The sequence below is a fragment of the Homo sapiens genome, chromosome 10, assembly GCF_000001405.40.
Source record: "Homo sapiens chromosome 10, GRCh38.p14 Primary Assembly".
In the NCBI taxonomy this organism is placed as follows: domain Eukaryota; kingdom Metazoa; phylum Chordata; class Mammalia; order Primates; family Hominidae; genus Homo; species Homo sapiens.
In genome coordinates, this window is record NC_000010.11 from 28,984,241 (window position 1) to 29,006,399 (window position 22,159).

Sequence of the window (22,159 nt, forward strand, 5' to 3'; positions counted from 1 at the left end):
ATTATTTAGTATCTACCTTTGCTTATGTCGTCATAAGGCTTCTCTCGTTGTTTCTAGTAGTCTGTTTACCTGGCTAGGGTGAGGACAATGGCTTATCATGTTTTAGTCCGAGATTCCCAGCATGTAGCATGGCGCCTGGCATGCAGTAGAAGCTCAATAAATATGGGCTGAGTTGAATGAATTAGTGGAGAGGAGAGAGAAGGAAATTTTGGGCAGAGAGCTAGCTCAAGAAAATGCTTGGAGGCAGGGCAATTTTTCTCATGTCAGTATAGTATGAGTCACCATGAGGAAAGTGGGGCAGTGAACCGGACTGGGCTCGGGGGATGGGTGAGCAGAGAGGAAGTGAGGAAATGGCTGCTCTGTTCTCACCACTGCTGGCCATGTTCCCGTGGCTGTTCTTGGCAGGTGTGAGGAGGTGGCGGGCCGTGCCTGGCAGAACACACCCATTGATGCAGGAGGTGGTACAGAAGAGGGGATAAGAGCAAGAGCCTTGCAGCTTGAGTCCTAGCGCTGCCACCTGTGTGAGCTTGGGCAGACTGCTCACACCCTCTAAGTCATGGTTTTCTTTTCTTTTCTTTTTTTTCTTTTCTTTTCTTTGAGATGGAGTTTCTCTCTTGCCACCCAGGCTGGAGTGCAATGGCGCCATCTCGGCTCACCGCAACCTCTGCCTCCCGGGTTCAAGCAATTCTCCTGCCTCAGCCTTCTGAGTAGCTGGGATTACAGGCATGCGCCACCACGCCCTGCTAATTTTGTATTTTTAGTAGAGACAGAGTTTCACCGTGTTGGTCAGGCTGGTCTGAAACTCTCAACCTCAGGTGATCCACCTGCCTTGGCCTCCTAAAGTGCTGGGATTACAGGCGTGAGCCACTGCGCCCGGCCTAAGTCATAGTTTTCTTATTTGCAAAATGAAGATCCATCTCACAGTTCTGAACTACGGATAAAGAAGACAAACTGTGCAAAGAGTTTTGTGCAGTGCCTGGGATGTAGGTAACACTAATATTATTGTGACTATAGATCACATCCATTAGGCTCCTCACTGGAGGGAATCCTGGCTACGCTGTGTGACTGGATGTGCCTTGGTCAGCAGTATTGACTGGTGCTGACATCTGAGCCTCTTCTTCCTTGCACAGTGAGCAACTAGCCAGCTTGTGTGACTCCATTAGGTCCCAGAGCAACTTTGAAGAGAAACCTGGTGATTCTGGAGGACAACGCCCATGTTTCTCAGGCACTCTCTGCAAATGTGAGCACCGATAGGGCCTTTACTAAGGATGAAGTTGTGGCTCTGGATCTGTAGTCTACCTCCAGCTTGCAAAGCTCTTGCCTTGCAGCCTTGAAAAACCAAGCGAAAGTGCATGGAGAGCTTTGAGGCATCCTAGCTCTGCAGGAAAACAGGGGTCAGATGAGGCAAGCTGTGTGGTGCTAGATCTGATTGTAGAGCCAGGCTGTGTCACTGGACCTACTTCTCAAAGAGATTAGACAGGATCAGAGCCAATGGGACCTTTTCCAGTGTTAATTGGACTTAGTTATAAATAACACGGAAGCCTCTTGTCATTGCTCCTCTGGGTGTCTGGCTTACATGCCAAAACACAGAACTTGAATAAAAATGTTCGAGACATGCTAGCAGGTTTCAAGGTCTTCACCCTCGTGACAGGGGTTGCGTAGCAGGTTTCCTTCTCATCAAGAGGCTTAAAAGTGAGAAGGAGCAGTGCATTTCAAGTTATTTGATAAATTGAGTAAAACCCATTTGCCAGTTGGAATTTTTTTTTAATAGAGGAGGTCCTCACTACAGTTCTAATTAAAAATCAATGTGATATATAATTAAATTCTAGTGATCATATATGCACCAGCCCGTCTCTTTAGCTTTTAGCTGAAGGCAGGGGAGGCATGCTGTTATTGATCAGTGCAGGAGCCCTTTGAGGTTGTCAATAGATGTCTCGTCTGAGAGCCACGTGGCTGCTCAAAACCCACAGCAGCGCTCAGAGCTGAAGGACACTCGACTGACTCCAGCAAAGGGGGCTGATGCTCCCTGACCATTTAAGTGCTCTGCCAGGTAGGCCAGGACCCCGTTCACCATCTCCACCTGCCATCCAGTCCTCCAAGAAGTGAGCTCTGGGGAGGAGGCTTTGGAAAGGGAGAGGAAGCCAATCAATGTTTTCCAGCTTCAAATTATCATTTTAGCTTCCTTTTCCCCATTAGACCATGGGTAAGTCCCCTCTAATTATTTTCCATCATGTGTGTCAAGTACCAAGTCAAGTCCGCTGAGTCAGAATGACTAAAGATCACATTGATTCAAGACTTATCCGAAGGCCACTGACGTGTCTAGGTGGTTCCATCCAGTCTGAGGAACAGTCCTACCCCTATTACATGAAGAACTATCATTGGGATTTTCCAGTTTCTTAGAAAGATGTTCATGTTTCTTTGTATGAATTCTTGGCAACCTCCCGAGCAATTTATCATAAAAGCTCATGTGCGTAAAGTGCAAAATCCTTCTCAAAAGACTTCCACAATTTTTATTTTTGTCCTCTCGTGTGATCCTCATCACAATACAATGATCTGAGGCATGAAAGTGGTTTTTTTTTTTTTTTTTTTTAAGACATGGTCTTGCTCTGTTGCCCAGGCTGGTTTCAAACTCCTGAGCTCAAGTGATCCTCCCGCATCAGCCTCCCAAAGTGCTGGGACTATAGGTACACAACACCATGCCCTGCTGGAAGTGGCATTTTTATTCCCACTTTACGTAGGAGCATTTCCTCACCCAAAGCAGAGACTGTTAAAGGGTTGATCCAGGTTTCTCCGGCCTGGGAGACTTTTGGAGTAGAACTTGGGTCTTCCAACTTCCTGTCCCATGCCTGACACCTGACACCATGCTGCCTGCTCAGGGACCATTGCTGACCCATCTTTCACTGCCAGGCCCTCCTCCTCCTCAGAAGACTTTATCTCTCCCTCCTTTAAAGCTGAATTTAGTGACAATATATTTTATTTTTGACTCCCACTGTTTCTTTAGTTTTTTGGTTTTTGTTTTTTAAATTTCAGACAGAGTCTTGCTCTGTCGCTCAGACTGGAGTGCAGTGGCATGATCTCGGCTCACCACAACCTCCGCCTCCCGGGTTCAAGCAATTCTCATGCCTCAGTCTCCCAAGTAGCTGGGACTACAGGCACCTGCCCCCACACCTGGCTAATTTTTTATATTTTTAGTAAGAGATGGGGTTTCCCCATGTTGCCCAGGCTGGTCTCAAACTCCTGATCTCAGGTGATCTGCCTGCCTCGGCCTCCCAAAGTGCTGGGATTACAGGCGTGAGCCACCATGCCCGGCCATAGATTTTTATTATTCAAATACCAATACGTCGTTGTTGTAACGGATTTAAATTATGTATGAGAATATAGAGCCCAGTGTGAAAGGGCCCATTCCTGGCTTGGAGCTTATACATCCTGGCTGCTGTCCTGGGCCACCAGGGAATGTCTGCTTTCCCTCCCTTCCAGTATGTCTTTCCTCCTCCTCTTCCTTTTTTCCTCGTCATCCTCTTCCCTTTCCTCCTTCTCCTCCTTTCTCCTTCCTTCTCCTCTTCCCCTTCTTCTTCCTACTTCTCCTTTTCCCCTTCACTTTCTTTCCCCTCACATCTCTCTTTCTTCTCCCATATGTATTTAAATAAAATAAGGATGTTGTTTTACACAAATAAAAAAATAGTTTTAGAAACATGCCTTGGTGGAAAGCAAGAATTTTTTCAAAACCTTTCTTATATAAAGGAAAACGACACAAAGCCTCCTGTAGTGTAGAGCTGGAGCTAATTTTAGGAAGAAGGAGGATTTGACACACATGAAGGAAAAGAGAAGCTCGTTCGCCACGAGACGTGGGGAGCCAAGACAGGGAGTGAGACAAAATAAAACCCCGTGAGTCACCTTTGAGCTCTCTCCTCCTCCCCATCCCAAATGCAGGCTACCAGCAAATCCTCCCTGCTCTATCTTCATAACATATCCAAAATCTGGCCGGGCACGGTGGCTCATGCCTGTAATCCCAGTGATTTGGGAGGCCGAGGTGGGCGGATCACTTGAGGTCAGGAGTTTGAGACCAGCCTGGCCAACATAACAAAATCCCATTTCTACTAAAAATACAAAAATTAGCCGGGCGTGGTGGTGGGCAGCTGTAACGCCAGCTACTCTGGAGGCTGAGGCACGAGAATTGCTTGAACCCGGGAGGCGGAGGTTGCAGTGAGCTGAGATTGCACCACTGCACTCCAGCCTGGGCAACAGAGCAAGACTCTGTCTCAAAAAACAAAACACACACACACACACACACACACACACACACACACACACATATCCCAAATCCTTCCTTTTTTCATCACCTCCCAACTCACATCCTGGTGCATGCCATGAGCATCTCTTTCCTGGATTTTTGCAGCTGCCCCACTGGTGTGCCAGAGCCAGCTTGTTAAATCACCTGAGCCGAATATGAAGTTTCCAGGAATTCTGCAAGTTAGTTGTTAAATGCAACCATTACTAAAAATTAAACAATATAAACTTATTATTAAATTATATTAAAAACCAAGGTAATAAATATTTAGAAGTCAACGCTTCCTGATTTTACTCCATTTTACGGAGGCCGTTGATCTGTATTGTATTCACATGGTAGGAATACTGTACGATGCCAGGCTGCTGCACATCTCTCCCCAACTCTGCTTTTATTCTTTTTATTGATCTATTTATTTATTTGGAGATAAGGTCTTGCTCTGTCTCCAGGCTGTTAGAGTGCAGTGGTACAATCATGGCTCACTACAGCCTCAAACTCCCGGGTTCAAGTGATCCTCCCGCCTCAGCCTTTCAGGTAGCTAGCACCACAGGTGCATGCCACCATGCCTGATTACTTTTTATTTTGTATTTTGTAGAAATGGGATCTCACTATGTTGCCCAGGCTGGTCTTGAACTCCCGGGCTCAAGCAGTCCTCCCACCTCGGCGTCCCAAAGCACTGGGATTACCAGTGTGAGCCACCATGGCCTGCCTGTTTTCAGCTTTATTGGTGGAAATCAGCTATGGTGGAAGTATGAACACCACAGAAATCACCAAACACTACAAATCAGTAGTGGTCAACACTTTATAAATGCTCACTGGCCGTTTCACTCTGAATGAACAAAAGTCCCCATCTTCTGAAGAACTCACCAGGCCTGAAGCCTCCCCGCAATTCCCAACATACACCTTCTTCCCTAGTCTGGTAAGTTTATCCTACTGAAATACTACACCTGGAAGCCCAGCTAAAGTCTCACCTCTCTAGTGGAACTTTCCTTCTATTTTATTTATCTGGTCTTCCTGTTTTCCAATTCTTTTTATTTCATATACACAGTCTCACACTAACCTGTTCCTCAATGTCTCTGACTTTACTGTAAGTTCATAGACAGAGTCCATACACATTAGGTGCTCAATAAAGGCATATCAGGGGCTGGGCACGGTGGCTCATGCCTGTAATCCCAGCACTTTGGAGGGCTGACATGGGTGGATCACTTGAGCTCAGGAGTTCGTGACCAGCCTGGGCAACATGGTGAAGCCCTGTCTACAAAAATTAGCTGGGCATGGTGGTGCATGCCCGCAGCCCCAGCTACTTGAGAGGCTGAAGTAGGAGGATCGCTTGAGCCTGGGTGGTTGAAGCTGCAGTGTGCAGTGAGCATGTCACGGCACTCCAGACTGGGCAACCGAGCAAGACTCTGTCTCCAAAAAGCAACAACAAAAACAAAAGACAAATCACTGATGCAGGACTAGAGACCTGGCCCAAGATAATGTTACTAAGAGTAGTGAAAACAGATTTAAATATCATTATCATCTGATGGACCTAACCTTTCTGTCATTTGTTTCACTCATTTGCATAACCATCTGTGAGGTAAGCAATATTATCTGAACTTTACAGATGACAAAGTTAAGAAACTTGCCAGGTCAGACGGCTAGTAGGAGGCAGAGCTGGAACTTGAATCTGTGCTCTTTCTAAGAGGAGGAATTACTGGAGGAAAATGACCGAGGTTTCCATGGTAAATTGAATTGTGTTGGGAACTATACATGGTATTGGAGACTGCTCTGGTGGCACCATGAATGCCCTGACTTGGATACTCTTGTTTTCCAGGTAAAGAGACTGTATGTGGTGTTTTGACATTTTTCCAGAATCCCAATGTGCACAAGAGGCTTTCTGGGTGTGAGACATTTGTAACTAGGGGAATTAGTGCTATCCTGTTGGGCTGGCCTCTTGGAAGTGATTTGCCTTGGTTTTTCTCAGTGAGGGGACTGAAGTTGGGGAAAATGACAACAAGGAATTGTAGCCCTTCTTGCTGTGGTTGGCTGTGACAACACATGACACACATCATCCCCTCCACAACCAGAACAGGGATTCATGGGGACCCCAGAAGGCTTGACTGATGGACTAAAATGTGGGCTTTGATGGCCTCCTTCTTTTGGCCCTGCTTTTGTTTTTTATTGTTGTTGTTGTTGTTTGTTTGATTGTTTGTTTTTTCTGAGATAGGGTCTCACTGTTTTTGCAGGCTGGAGTGCAGTGGCATGATCACGGCTCACTGCAGCCTTGATCTCCCCAGGTTCAGGTGATCCTCCCACCTTAGCCTCTCAAGTAACTGGGACTACAGGCACGTGCCACAATGCCCAGCTAGTTTTTGTATTTTTTATAGAGAAAGGGTTGTGTTGCCCAGGCTGGTCTTGAACTTCTGGACTGAAGCCACCCTCCCACCTTGGCTTCCCAAAATGCTGGGACTACAGGTGTGAGCCACCACTCCTGGACTTGGGCCTGCTTTTGAATGATGCCAAGGCCGTCACGGTGGTCTCAAAGTCAAGCAATACAGTCAACCCAGAACCATGTTGGGCTCATCTGATCTTAGAGTCAGCCTCTCTCTGATACATTTAGATCATGTATTAGAACGGCAGCAAAAGGCACATGATTGTAGAGAGGGATGAGCTTTAACCAAGGTTAAAGAGCTTTGGCTCTTACTGGTGATGGTCCTGAAGTCAGTTATTTTGCCTCTCTTTGCCTCGGAGTTTCTTCATTTGCACAATAGGGGTAATGTTAGGATTAAAGGAGATAAAGTATGGGTCTAGTACATGGTCAATGATCATCAAGACGAAGGTTTTCTTGCAGAAATACAGGTCGGGCCCCTCAGCAGGGATTTGGCTGGTCCCACCTGATGTCATTCTTCCCACTAGTTTCAAACTGGGCTGCTCGCCTGTGGCCAGGGAGTGTATTCCAAAGCATTCCTGTTCGCCAGCTCAGGCCTCAGGGCTGCTGTGAAGCTGCAATTCCTTTCATGGAGCTCATGTGTGTGACAGGGTGTGCCCAGCTCTTAAAGTGCTTTGAAGAAAATGCCTTTGTGCTAAAAGCTCTATAAATATAAGGCGCAGACCTGGGCGTGGTGTTTCCAGAATACTCCCAATTTGATGTTAGCTGTCATCAAAGGCTCAGGTCATAGAAAAGTTGGAAATGGGGGTGGTTTGCCAATTCAGTGATTCCCCAAAGCAGAGATGATTGTTTTTTCTTTTTTTTTCCAACTTCCATTGCTTGATGGTACAAGGCCCATGTTGCCTTTCTTGTGTCCAGAACTACACAAACCTGATTTCAAGTATCCTTTTGAAGAATTACCAATTGCATACTCTCTCTCTACCCCTTTCTTCCCCACCCCACCCACCAACCATCCAGAGCCATCCAACAGCTCCTCCTGGTGGCCATTGCGGAGAGAGATTCTCTGATCACACACCTTTACCTTCAGTATGAATGTGCTTCATTCATTTATTCAACCACTTTTTATTGGTTAACTACTATGCACAAGGCATCTTGCTAGATGCTGGAGATACCAATAGAACAAATAGGGTTCCTGCCTTCATGGGGTCACAATTCTGTGAGGAAACAGACAAACAAGTGATTATAATTACACAATGACTGTGTCATAACAAAAGTATGTACAAGAGCATGGGGGAGGAGCAGGAAAGGAACCTAAGGCATGTTGATATTGAAGCTAAGAAGGCCACAACTTCAGGGCCTTCTCATTTGCATGGTCCCCTTCTGAGGCCATATCACATGTGCATATAACACACACACACACACACACACACACACACACACACACACACACATATTTTTTTCAGACAGGGTCTTGGTCTGTCACCCAGGCTGGAGTGCGGTAGCGATCACAGCTCACTGCAGCCTCAAACTCCTGGGGTCAAGCGATCCTCTCGTTTCAGCCTCCGGAGTAGCTGGGATAACAGGTACACACCACCACACCTGGCTAATTTTTGTATTTTTTGTACAGACTGGGTTTTGCTATGTTGCCAAGACTGGTCTCAAACTCCTGGCCTCAAGTGATCCTTCCTCCTCAGCCTCCCAAATTGCTGGAATTATAGGTCTTAGCCACCATCCCTGGCCTATGGTCATAGATTTTTATAAAATTTACAGGAGTAACCCATTTTGAAGGAATCAGTTAAGATTACACTTGTCTTCTGCACTAACACTTACTGTCATATTTCTCCTGTTATTGGGGGACATGGAAGCAGGAAAAGTTGTCTTTGGAACTGGCTTAGGGAGGGTTGAGTTGGGGATAGAATTCATTTGGGTTTAGTGAGGTTTTTTGTTGTTGTTGTTGTTGTTTGTTTTTTTTTTTTCTTTTTTTGAGATGGAGTTTTGCTCTTGTTGCCCAGGCTGGAGTGCAATGGCGCGATCTCAGCTCTCTGCAACCTGCCCCTCCCGAGTTCAAGTGATTCTCCTGCCTCAGCCTCCCGAGTAGCTAGGATTACAGGCATGCGCCACCACACCCGGCGAATTTTGTATTTTTAGTAGAGACGGGGTTTCTCCATGTTGGTCAGGCTGGTCTCGAACTCTTGACCTCAGATGATCGGCCCACCTCAGCCTCTCAAAGTGCTGGGAATACAGGCATGAGCCACCATGCCCGGCCCCTGGGTTTAGTGAGATATTTTTATGGGTTCATAGTTAAGCTATTGTCAGGCTTCCTTGTGTAGGAGCAGCTTCCAGAAATACTTCTATCACCCACCTTTCTGACTCAGCAACGCTGTGACATAAAGCTTCATGATCAGAGGCTACATCACAATTTAAACATGTCTGCTAGCTCCGGACACCAGAGCTAGGTGAACAATGGAGGAGAAACGTGATTTAGATAGATGGAGCCAGAAGCTAGTCTGCGGAATGTTCTTCAAATTATCAGACGTGTCACTTTGTAAGCAGAGGATTTGGTTGTGGGAAAACTTGAGAGAGGCTTCTGCAGATGTGGGAGCAGTTTTCAACACTTTTTTTTTTTTTTGAGACGAAGTCTCACTCTTGTCCCCCAGGTTGGAGTGCAATGGCACGATTTTGGCTCACTGCAGCCTCTGCCTCCTAAGTTCAAGCAATTCCCCTGCCTCAGCCTCCCAAGTAGCTGGGATTACAGGTGCCTGCCACCACGCTCGGCTAATTTTTGTATTTTTAGTAGAGATGGGGTTTCACCATGTTGGCCAGGCTGGTCTCGAACTCCTGACCTCAGGTGATCCGCCCACCTCAGCCTCCCAAAGTGCTGGGATTACAGGTGTGAGCCACCGCATCCGACCCAGTCTTCAATGACATCACTACTGAGTTTTGAAGCTGGAAGACATGTTTTCAAACAATCTATAGGCTAAAGCAAATCACCATAAAGTGTTAGAGCAAAGAGAGTGGATCTTTTTTAATCCTCTGTATAGAAAAAAAAGGTAGAAAATTGTTTTATGAAGAAGAGATCAGCGTTTGCAGCTAAAAAGTAGAGGAAAGAGAACTATTCTAGAGGCATATGAGGCAGTCACTATTTCTGTGGATTTTGTAATATCTGTGGAATTTGTCAGATGTTATTGTGATATGTTATGATTTTATACTCATTCTAAATAAATGTTCATTTTCATGCCTAATTTTTCATTTGTAATTCTGGATTCTTTTCTTTCATACTTCAGACTCTATACAACTTGGATCAGGCCTGGGAAAGAGACCCTAAGTGTGTCCTGGGGAGGACCAGTGGGGCTTCATGGAGGGTCAGTGTGGGTGCCAAGAGATGGAGGAACCTTATGAGTTGGCCAAGGGCAAAGTGAGCAAGGGAATTTCCAGGCAGAGAGGAAAAGTCAAGAGGCCTATGAGAGCCCTTCTGTAGAGGAAAGTGGGATATTGCAACTGAGGGCATGGAAGTGATCAAGGCCCCCAGGCCAGGTCATAGAGAGCTCTTCTGCTGTCCACAGGGTTCCCAAGGGAGGACCCCTGAGCGTTCAGGCAGGGAGTAGGCAGATGCTGATTTGGGGGTCCGCTAACTTTTCCTCTGTCTTTATCACTCAGCTTTTGATGAATTCTACCTTTTCTCATCTCTCTGTACATATCCCCTTAATCTTCCTCCTTCCTCATACTTTTTGGTTAATTCCTTTGACTGCCCTCTTCACTACCCTTCCACACCAAGGAAGGCTTTTTTATTTTTTTAAATTTTTTTCAGAGAGAGTCTTGCTCTGTTGTCCAGGCTGGAGTGCAGTGGCTCGATCTTGGCTTACTGCAACCTCTGCCTCCTGGGTTCAAGCAATTCTCCTGCCTCAGCCTCCTGAGTAGCTGGGATTACAGGTGCCCACCACCACGCCTGGCTAGTTTTTGTATTTTTTTTAGTAGAGACAGGGTTTCACCATGTTGGCCGGGCTGGTCTCAAACTCCTGACCTCAAGCAATCCTCCTGCCCCAACCTCCCAAAGTGCTCGGATTACAGGTGTGAGTCACCGCACCCGGCCCAAGTAGTGCTTTTTTGTCTCTCTCCTGTTGATTGTGAAATAGGAATGACTACAATCACCAAAGGAACTAACACAATGTTAGTGAGTACCCATAAGTGTTCAGTGCTGAGTAAGTAGTTGATAATTAAAATGGTAAAGGTATTGCCCTCAAGAATCCTGTTGGCTATGGGGAGATTCAGCTAAACAAGCAAACAGATATCTGATTTTTAATAAATGCGAGAAAAGAAACCATGTACTGTACCACAGTTGATTTATCCATTCATCCATCAATGGACATTTGGCTGATCCCACCTTTTGCTTATTGTGAATGGTGCTGCATTCATCTGTCTGCATTCGTGTGAGTAGCAGTCTTTTGTTCTTTGGGTACAGACCTAGGAGTGGAATTGCTACAATTTGTGTTTCGATGCTTTGTCCTTCTATCTTCCTGGAATCTCGATTTATCAATTATTTCCCATGCTTCTTCAATATTTACATTTTTTCCACCACTCCCTCCCTTCTGGTGTACAGGACATGGAAAGATCCAATCTGAAATAAATATTCAAATACTGTGAAAAAAAGTTCCTATGATTTTCAGATACAGAAACCTCAATGTTAAGCCATTGCGGAAAATCTTTATTTCACAAAAGGATCTGAAAAGTACGAAGGGAACTGAGGAGAAAGAAAATCTCAACAAAAGCAGTTCTGGGAAACCATCTCTCATCAGCCTTCATTCTTGAGTGATGACCACCATACTAGATTTTATCGTCTTCTTGGACTTACGAAAACAAAGGTTTCACATAGATTGAGACCCACTTCTCTACCTTTCCACAGGTTGATTTATTTCTTGATTTAGTGAGCTTGCAAATATAGATAGATTACTTTCTTAAGCTGCTTCATGAGATGGAGCAACCTGCAGCTGGGGTGACACAAGCATACTACAAAGTCCTGCTGCCTTGTGGTGGGAAGGACTTGGGCTGGAGAACCGCAGACTGTATTCCTGGACAAACAACTGAAGCCATTCTGTACTCTGCAGAATATGAAAATTAAAGCAAAACTCTTTGCAACAATGCCCGAGTTGCTTTCTAAGTTTCCTTTCAGCTTTAGAAGCCTAAGATTCTAAATATATTGCTGGCTTTGTCGTGTAATCAGATACAAAGGTGGGACCATTCCTATTGACATTTCTTACTCTGAGTCTAAGCATAAGAGGTTTGTTGAAATAGAAATTGGCTAATTAGCATATTTCCATTTCTAAAAAGTACATTGACTTCACTTCCCTTTGCACTTGTGTGTTCTGCATGTTTTATGTGGAGTATTTGGTGAAGACTGTCTCACAAGAAGGTCCTAGCTTTAGCAACTTGGGGGAATTCTTCAGTTGAAACTCCAGGTAGTTCTTATCAGATACTTTGACAAGCCCCTAACTAGAAAGAGGAAAATGTTTTGCAGTTTGTTGTAAAACTCTTCAAAGACATTATTCTATCTTTTTGGTAAAACGATTCCATTTCATGCTCCTACTACATTCTTTGCATTCTCTTCTTGTTTCATCTCAAAGATACTTGTTTTCTCTATGAGTGACTTTCATGTGGTTTTTCGTGTGTTATAATTTCTTTTCTTTGGATGAATAGTCTATATTCATGGTGGTTTTAAGAAGCATGAGTGAGGCCTGGGATGCTTTTTTTTTTTTTTTGAGACCGAGCCTCTCTTTGTCACCCAGGCAAGAGGGCAATGGCGAAATCTCGGCTCACTGCAACTTCCACCTTCAGGTTCAAGCGATTCTCCTGCCTCAGCCTCCCAAGTAGCTGAGATTACAGGTGCCTGCCACCACGCCCAGCTAATTTTTGTATTTTTGTAGAGACGAGTTTTCACCATGTTGGCCAGGCTGGTCTCGAACTCCTGACCTCAGGTGATCCACCTGTCTCGGCCTCCTAAAGCGCTGGGATTATAGGCATGAGCCACCACACCCAGCCCTGGGATGCTTATTTTATCTGAGGAACACAACCTCAATCAGGCTGCATGGATGTACTGAAACAAAGCACAACAGACCCATCTTTGCAAAGGTAAGTGGCCACATGCACAAACTCTCCAAAAATGAACCTAGCGTAGCAAGAGATACAAATAGCATAGGCAAGCCTGAAGGTCTACATAGTCACCTCTTAATGGGATGCTTATTTTATCTGAGTAAGAGGTGACTCAGGCTTGCCTATGTTATTTCTGTCCCTTGCTAAGCAAGGTTCATTTCTGGATACCCTCTGCATGCGGCCACTTACCTTTCCTCAGATGGGTCTATTGTGCTTTGTTTCAATCCGTCCATGCAGCCTGGTTGAGGTTGTGTTCCTACAGGTTGCGAGTCTCAGTTCCCAAACAGGTGCCCTTTGTCTGTAATCTACTTGGAGACACTGTCCTGCATTGATTCTTTCCTGCATTGTTTCCATTGCCTCTTTGTGTTGACTCTAAAAGAAACTTGCTGAAATCATGTCACCCTTTAATATTTTCCGCCTGTGTGCATTTTCAAGTATTGACAATGGTTGCCCAGTGAATATACTGTGCTCTGGCAAAGTCAATAGTTTCTGGATCTTCAGCGATCATCTTTTCTACTAAGCCCTAGAGATTTCTAGAAACAGATATTTGCTTTGATATTTCATGAAACAAAGGCATAGATTGAGCAACTTGAGTGCGTTGTTGTTACAGTTGTAGTGGCCAAAGGACTTCTCTACTGAGAAATGAAAACAATTCTCCATTTTCTTCTCATTTCAACCCATTAAGACTTAAAAAAAAAAATAAGGAGGGCTAATCATTTATAGTCTATGAGAATGAGGTCCCTGGGAGCTGTACATCTTGGGAGCACTGTGGCCTTGTACATGTTTGTTCACTCAAGAAGAATTTGCAAGTACACATTTCATTTGAAAGCATTTGTAGATCTCCCTTCCCATAACTGCATTGTGTAAATGCTCCCTTCCTCAAGAATTTGTTCACTCAGAGTTCACATTTGAGACAACTGCACTCCAGTGTGGGCGTGCCTTTGTCTTCAGGCCACGCCGAAGAGTGTTTAAAGCAGTCTTGCCGGTCGCTCCTTTCCCAGCCGTGAATAAAAACTGAAGCCAGGAATCTAATAAGGAATGCTGATTTCCTCAGTTCCATTTTGAGGAATGGGGAAGGCTATTCTAAAGAAAAAAAATGGGACTTGTTTTCTCGGCACATCTGCAAGACTGGCTTTAAGAGCACAAGGAGGGAAAGTAACGAGAGGGCTGGACTACTATAAAAGTTACAAATACGTAGTTAGACCAATAGATTTATATAGTCAGGTTTTTGTCATGTAATTTATTAACTATTACAGAAACACAACTAAGAATATCAAGCATTTCTCTGGCTCTTGACAAAAAATCAGTTGACTTAACCCTTTGCTGTCAAAAGAGTTGGCGTTTCCTGTTGTGGGTGCTACTGCCAAACGTTCTGGTACTTAGAGTCAGGATGCACGACTTCAACCACCGACTTATCAGTGCAGCTGCCTGTGTATTGCAATTGGCCGTTACCTTAAGCACTGAGCCACCAGGGTTTAGTTCAGCCATTTCAAGAAGTATATTTAACGTCGGTAGTTCTGCTTTATTAAAATGCCGCAGAGGTACTCTTTTGTCCCTTCCGTTTACAGTTCTCTGAGAGAGTTCTATTTTTTTGTTTTGTTTTGTGTTTTCTTTCGCATTTTATATCTTGTATTTATCCTGAACATGTTTTGTATTTCTTTTTTTTTTAAGAAAAGGAATTCTTTTGTGTATACATAGATACTTGCATGATATACTGTAGTCAACGTTCGGTTCCTCAAAAGGTCTTGCTGCTGTCAGGTGTTATGCACTCCATCCATCATAACTGCATGAAACACATTTCATATGTAAATAAATGTGGGACATTCGGCAAAAAAAAAAAAAAAAAGAATTTGTTCACTCTACAAATATTTATTGATTGTCCACTCTCTGGGAAACATTATTCTTGCCCTGGGCACACAGGCGTCTATAGTCGGCTGCATCCTTAAAGAGCTTGCAAAGTTGTTAAAGGAGAAAAAGAAAAAAAACAATGTAATGGTGGGGCTATTTGCATACAAACACTAAGCTCCAAGGTTTGCAGATGTAATAATGAAGGCGCTAAGATAATAATAAACAACTTTCCAGCCCTGAAGGCTTCATGCCGCTGCTAAGGCTGGATACATGATTTCACCACAAAATACTGGATTAGAAGAACCTCATTTACAGTTTACATGGGTTATAACAAAAATGTGAGTGCTGCTAGAATGCCTTCTACTAGTCTACACTCACAGAAACCTCTGAGCCTTTTCCTTTCCCTAAGGAGGTTAATTTTCTTTTAGCTACTTTTTGAACCTTGAAAATGCAGCCAAAGCGAAGCCAGGGTGTACCCTACTGTATTAGGGTTCTCTAGAGGGACAGAACTAATAGGATAGATGTATATATAAAGGGGAGTTTATTAGGGAGTATTGACCCACACAATCACGAGGTGAGGTCCCACAACAGGCCGCCTGCAAGCTGAGGAGCAAGGAAGCCAGGCCGAGCCCCAAAGCTGAAGAACTTGGAGTCCGATGTTCAAGGGCAGAAAGCATCCAGCAGGGGAGAAAGATGGAGGCCTGAAGACTAAACCAGTCTAGTCTTCCCACGTTCTTCTGCCCACTTTTATCCTAGCTGCACTGGCAGCTGATTAGATTGTGCCCACCCAGATTGAGGGTGGGTCTGCCTCTCCCAGTCAACTGACTCAAATGTTAATCTCCTTTGGCAACACCCTCACACACACCCAGGAACAACACTTTGCATCCTTCAATCCAATCAAGTTGACACTCAGTATTAACCATCACACCTACTTACTTGCCTCCATTCTTCTCTTGAATTTTCTAAGGAACTGGAGTCATAAGCCCTGGAAATAAAGAGATCAGTCTTGGCTAGAGCTTCCTTGACCTCTGTGTAGTTTTGTTTTGAAGACTAGTCAGAAATACAGAAATGATCACCTTGACCTTTAGCAAAAGTTATCAAAGAAGGAAGGAACCAAACTGTCTTGCTCTCACCCAGTTGATGGCTGCATTCTCTCCAGGCAGAAATGCAGCTTTCTCTAGCATTTGTGGGTTTCTCTCTATTGTTTTTCCTCCGTACCTATAAGAAGTGTAAGATGAAGTCAATGTGGATAAGTAACCCGTCTGTTCACATTTATTTTTAGAAATAACTTTGAGGCAGTAAATGTGAGGCAGTGACATACATACCTCCTTGTAATAGTTCATTAATCATGTTAACATTTACAAGCCATAATGTTTCTACTGTTTGAGAGGAAAAAGTCTGAAAACAATATTTATACTAATGAATTTTTTATGGGCCTTTCCATCCTAAGGAATGGCTGCTGAGCAAAGCAATGCAACTTGCTTAGAGCGTTGTAGGTTTCTTTTTTTAATTGCCATTTTAATTTAAATTCAGGGGTACACGTGCACGTTTGTTATGTGGGCATATTGTGTGACACTGAGGTTTGGGCTTTTATTGCTCCTGTCACCCGGATAGCGAGCACAGTACCCCAAAGGAAGGTTTTCAGCCCTTGCCCCCCACCCCCCCTTGTGGAGTTCCCATATTTATCTCTGTGTGAACCCAAGATTTATCTCCCACTTTTAAGTGAGAACACGCAGTATTTAATTTCTGTTCCTGTGTTAATTCACTTAGGATTATGGCCTCTAGCTGCATCCATGTTGCTGCAAAGGACATGATTTTATTCATTTTTATGGCTGCATAGTATTCCATGGTGTATATGTACCACATTTTCTCTATTCAGTCCACCATTGATGGGCATCTAAGTTGATTCCATGTCTTTGCTATTGTCAATAGTGCTGCAATGAACATACGTGTGCATGTTTCTTTTTGATAGAACAATTTATTTTCCTGAGATTGCTGGGTTGAATGATAGTTCTGTTTTTAGTTCTTTTAGAAATATCAAAACTGCTTTCCACAGGGGTAACTAATTTACATTCCCACCAACAGTGTATACACATTCCCTTTCCTCCAAAACCTCACCAACATCTGTCATTTTTTGACTTTTTAATAGTAGCCATTCTGACTGATGTGAGGTGATACCTCCTTGTGGTTTTAATTTACATCTTTCTGATGATTAGTGAGGTTTTCAATTCTTTACCTTACGGTCAATGCCCAGTTCTCATGGCCACCTCCCAGTTATTTATCAGCTGTGAGCATTTGCTTCCAAACAGCTTGATAAGGATTTTCAGTGGGTCATCTTGCAATTGCTCTATCACTTCTGTATTTTCTTACCTTTGCCATCTCTAAAGCCACACCAATATTATAATTAATACCATGAATGGAAATTTGATTTTCTACCTTTCAGTCTTCCAGGAAGGCAGAGCTAGAAGCAGTGGGTGAGATTTGGAAAGCCAGATTTCAATTAAACAGAGAGGCGCCCTTTCAAACCATCAGAGCTGCCTGTGGACAGAGCCACTTTGAAAGGTGATGAGCACACAGTTAGTAGAGCTCTGCAAATGAGAGGCTGCATCATATTTTCAGGGATAGCAGAAGGAAGGTGCCAACATTAGGAGGGAAGTAGGAAAAAAACATGCCTCTGGTCCCTCCAGACCCTCAGTATTTTATTTTATTTTATTTACTTGTTAATTAAATTTCCACCCAGGCAGAGTGCAGTGGTACCATGCTGGCTCACTGCAGCCTTGAACTCCTGGGCTCAAGCAATCCTCTAGCCTCAGTGCCCTGAGTAGCTGAGACTACAGGCCCGCACCACCATACCCAACTAATTTACTAATTTATTATTTTTTTGTAGATATGGGGACTCACTATGTTGCTCAGACTGGTCTTGAACTCCTCGCCTCAAGCAGTCCTCCTGCCTTAGCCTAATTTCCCCATATCAGTAGCACTGAGGAGAGCGGTTTTCACTGTAGATTCTGACTGCTCCCATCACCAGAAGCACACAATGCAAGGGAATGAGGCTGTTTTCCACATTTGGCATTTGCTCCTAGAGATTTTTTTCAGCTTAGTTTCAGGTCCTGGGATGTGGGTCAACAAGATGTTGCTACACTTTGAGGATGGACGTGCGCATGCCTGGTTTCCGCACACACTTCAATTTAGGCTCTCAGATGAACTGAGGCATCCTCAGTTTGGTTAAGTAGGTGGTTAGGCAGGTTAAAATGAGCAGATTACCAGGTGCGGACTCTGCAGCTCTATGGAGAAACATCATAGAGTTAGAGTCCAGGTTCAGTCTCTGGCGTGGCAGGCGAAGGGGACTTTGGGTGGGGAGAAAGGCAGACGGGCTCTCTTTTTAGGCGGGGCTGGGAAAAAGATGTCAGTGCTTTCAGGAATGTAGCTAAACTCATGCTTCCAGGCTCTGAGCAAGTAAAATCTAAACCAACATGAAAGCACCCTCTCAGCCCTTCCAGCATCCTTGGGCAGCTGCGCCGAGGAAGCTGGGACCGCATGGACTCAACACGTTCCAGATCCTGCGGCTGAACACTCAGGCTGAGCTCTCGAATTGGCAGCGCAGAAACACATCATGTCAGTTACAGCCTAGCTGCCCGAGGAAGCATCTTTCTAAGCAGGCTCATGTACAATGAGCATAAGAACTTTCTAGCAAGCCATTCCCGGTGACTGGTGCTGCTTGAGGTCTTCAGTGCTTGCCTTCTTCATGTAGAGGTGCAGAGGACGGAGAATGTCAGCTCTCATGCGGGCGGCAGGGGCCACGCTGATAGCCACACGGCCTCCACCTTTCCCTTTTCTTGTGCACATTTTCCCTTCCCTGACCTAAGACCCTTTACTCAACACCCCAGAGAATGTTTTCTATAACTAAATCCAAGGCCAAAGACTGGCAGACTCTAATGGGTACTTTTATGACTGCCATGCCACCATGACTGAGAACTTGCCTCCTTGGTCAAAGGCATTTTCTGATCTACTGGCAGGTAATATAGTTTATCTGCCTATTGATACAAGTCACCCAAGAAAATTGCCACTCATTGCCTGAAGAATTATTCCTAATTAGTACTAAAGTACTGAAAGAGGAGACTTTGTTATTTTCTGTTTCCAAAAAAAGGCCTCATGAAAGATCCACAAATATAATACACTGTTTTTATTTTATTTATTTATTTTATTTTATTTATTTTATTTTATCTTATTTTATCTTATTTTATTTTATATTTTATTTTATTTTATTTTATTTTATTTTTTTATTTTATTATTTTATTTTATTTTATATTTTATTTTATTTTATTTATTTTATTTTATTTATTTATTTATTTTATTTTATTTATTTTATTTTATTTTATTTTATTTTATTTTATTTTATTTTATTTTATTTTATTTTATTTTATTTTATTTTATTTTATTTTATATTTTATTTTGAGACAGAGTCTGCTCTGTCGCCCAGGCTGGAGTCCAGTGGCGCGATCTCGGCTCACCACAACCTCCGCCTCCCAGGTTCAAGTGATTCTCCCGCCTCAGCCTCCTGAGTAGCTGGGATTACAGGCGTGCGCTACCATGCCTGGATAATTTTTTTATTTTTAGTAGAGACAGGGTTTCACCATGTTGGTCAGGCTGGTCTCGAAACTCCTGACCTCATTATCCACCTGCCTCGGCCTCCCAAAGTGCTGGGATTACATGCGTGAGCCACTGTGCGCCACTGTGCGCGGCCTGTTTTTATTTTAAACATGAAAAATATGAAACACTTGGCTTTTGTTCCGATCACAAAGGCAATATATCTTTTATGAAATTTACGTATATTTCTATACAGTCATGCCCTGCATGACAATGTTCTTTCTGGTCAACAACGGACTGTATGTATGATGGTGGTTCCATAAGATTGTAATGGAGCTGGAAAATTCCTATCACGTAGTCGTGTTAATGTGTGATGCATTACCTTTCTGTGTTTAGATACGTTTAGATACACAGATACTTACCATTGTGCTCCAGTTGCCTAGAGTATCCAGTACTGTAGCATGCTACACAGGTATATAGCCTAGAAGCAAAAGGCTGTACCGTATAGCCTGGGTGTGCGGTAGGCTCTGCTATCTAGGTTTTTGTTAAGTACACACAAACCTAGATGGTATATTTTATTTGCACAATGAGGGAATCATCTAACAATGCATTTCTCAAATGTATCTCTGACATTAACTAATGTACAATTGTATTTTTTCTTACAGTTATGTATTATTCATAGCTCATTTATTATTATTAATAGCACAATTTATTATTATTACACACAAACCTAGATGACATATTTCATTTGCACAATGAAGGAATCATCTAACAATGCATTTCTCAGAATATATCTGTCATTAAGTAATGCATAACTGTACTTTTTCCTACAATTATTTATTATTATTATTATTGAGACAGAGTTTCTCTCTTGTTGCCCAGGCTGGAGTGCAGTGGCGCGATCTCGGCTCACTGCAACCTCCACCTCCTGGGTTCAAGCGATTCTTCTGCCTCACCCTTCTGGGTAGCTGGGATTACAGGCATGCACCACCACCCCTGGCTAATTTTTTTGTATTTTTAGTAGAGACAGAGTTTCACCATGTTGGCCAGGCTGGTCTCGAACTCCTGATCTCAGGTGATCCACCCACCTCAGCCTCCCAAATTGCTGGGATTACAGGCATGAGCCACTGCACCTGGCCTTCAATTATTTATTATTAATAGCTCATGTTTTTTTTTTGTTGATAGTACACTTTATTACTAATAGCTCATTTCATTTTCTGTGCCATTAAATATTTTTCTATAACAATATTTTTAATGGTTTTATTATATTTCATTCCATATATGTTACATAATCCAATTAATTAATTGATTTCCTGTTGTCCCCTATTTATGCTGTTTCCAAGTTATCTTTTTTAGCAATACCACACCGATGTATACTTCTCCCAGAAATGTAAGATAGTATCTATTTCCCCAAAGATCAACTACAAAGGGTATAATCATTTTTTTAAAACTTAAATCAATTTAGTAGGCATCTCATTGCTGCATCCTTTCGGTAACGTTTGTAGGGCTCACCAGATTTTCAAATATTTATTGGCCATTTGTATATTTTTTGTAAATTTTACCTTTTGCTCTTCTCCTGAAGCATTTTTTTTAAATTAATTTATTATTATTATACTTTAAGTTTTAGGGTACATGTTTACAATGTGCAGGTTAGTTACATATGTATACATGTGCCATGCTGGTGCGCTGCACCCACTAATTCGTCATCTAGCATTAGGTATATCTCCCAATGCTATCCCTCCCCCCTCCCCCCACCCCACAACAGGCCTCAGAGTGTGATGTTCCCCTTCCTGTGTCCATGTGTTCTCATTGTTCAATTCCCACCTATGAGTGAGAATATGCGGTGTTTGGTTTTTTGTTCTTGCGATAGTTTACTGAGAATGATGATTTCCAGTTTCATCCATGTCCCTACAAAGGACATGAACTCATCATTTTTTATGGCTGCATAGTATTCCGTGGTGTATATGTGCCACATTTTCTTAATCCAGTCTATCATTGTTGGACATTTGGGTTGGTTCCACGTCTTTGCTATTGTGAATAATGCCGCAATAAACATACGTGTGCGTGTGTCTTTATAGCAGCATGTGCCTGAAGCATTTTTTTTCCAATTACTTATAAGAGGTCTTAAGACTATATTATCGATGTGATATGTTGCAAATAAATTTAACATGTTGTCATCTGCCTTTAAATTGTATTTATACTACACTCCAGCCTGGGTGACAGAGTGAGACCCTGTCTCTAAAAAACCAAAATGTATTTAAAGTTATTTTTTCTTTTTTGACATATAGACAATTTTAATTTTAATGCTTTTTTTTTTTTTTTTGAGATGGACTCTCGCTCTGTCACCCAGGCTGGAGTGCAGTGGCGTAATCTCGGCTCACTGCAAGCTCTGCCTCCTGGGTTCACGCCATTCTCCTGCTTCAGCCTCCCGAGAAGCTGGGACTACAGGTGCCCGCCACTATGGCTGGCTAATTTTTTGTATTTTTAGTGGAGACGGCGTTTCACCGCGTTGGCCAGGATGGTCTCCATCTCCTGACCTCGTGATCCGCCCAGCTCGGCCTCCCAGAGTGCTGGGATTACAGGTGTGAGCCACCGCACCCGTCCAATTTTAATGTTATCAACATTGCTGAAGCCCGAAAAAAGTAAAAAAATGTGTAAGCTGCTATCTCTGTCTTTAAGGAACCTACAATCCAATTGTGGAAATAAGAGATAAACGCATGTAGAATAAACAATGCAATATCTTAAAGCAGCAGCTTTTCACAAAGAAAGGGAGTAGCCACCAGGAGATAGGCTTGCCCAGAGTACTAAAAAGCCCCTTTGGCTGGGCACCATGGCTCATGGTGTGCGTCTGTAGTCCCAGCTACTTGGGAGGCTGAGGTGGGAGGATTGCTTGGGCCTGGGAGATTGAGGCTTCAGTGAGCTGA

At 43.4% G+C, this 22,159-nt stretch overlaps 4 annotated features.

Moving 5' to 3' along the window:
* Positions 902–2,101: an enhancer, noted in NCBI's record as "CDK7 strongly-dependent group 2 enhancer chr10:29274071-29275270 (GRCh37/hg19 assembly coordinates)". NCBI's record gives its function as "activates an origin of replication core promoter dependent on BRD2, BRD4, P300/CBP, MED14 and CDK7 cofactors, with strong dependence on CDK7, by STARR-seq in HCT116 cells {active_cell/tissue: HCT116}" and the evidence as "EXISTENCE:reporter gene assay evidence [ECO:0000049][PMID:35650434]".
* Positions 6,616–7,815: an enhancer, noted in NCBI's record as "CDK7 strongly-dependent group 2 enhancer chr10:29279785-29280984 (GRCh37/hg19 assembly coordinates)". NCBI's record gives its function as "activates an origin of replication core promoter dependent on BRD2, BRD4, P300/CBP, MED14 and CDK7 cofactors, with strong dependence on CDK7, by STARR-seq in HCT116 cells {active_cell/tissue: HCT116}" and the evidence as "EXISTENCE:reporter gene assay evidence [ECO:0000049][PMID:35650434]".
* Positions 6,616–7,854: a biological region, named in NCBI's record as "CDK7 strongly-dependent group 2 enhancer GRCh37_chr10:29279785-29280984".
* Positions 7,560–7,854: a silencer, noted in NCBI's record as "tiled region #2956; HepG2 Repressive DNase matched - State 8:EnhW". NCBI's record gives its function as "represses a minimal TATA promoter and a strong SV40 promoter by Sharpr-MPRA in HepG2 cells {active_cell/tissue: HepG2}" and the evidence as "EXISTENCE:reporter gene assay evidence [ECO:0000049][PMID:27701403]".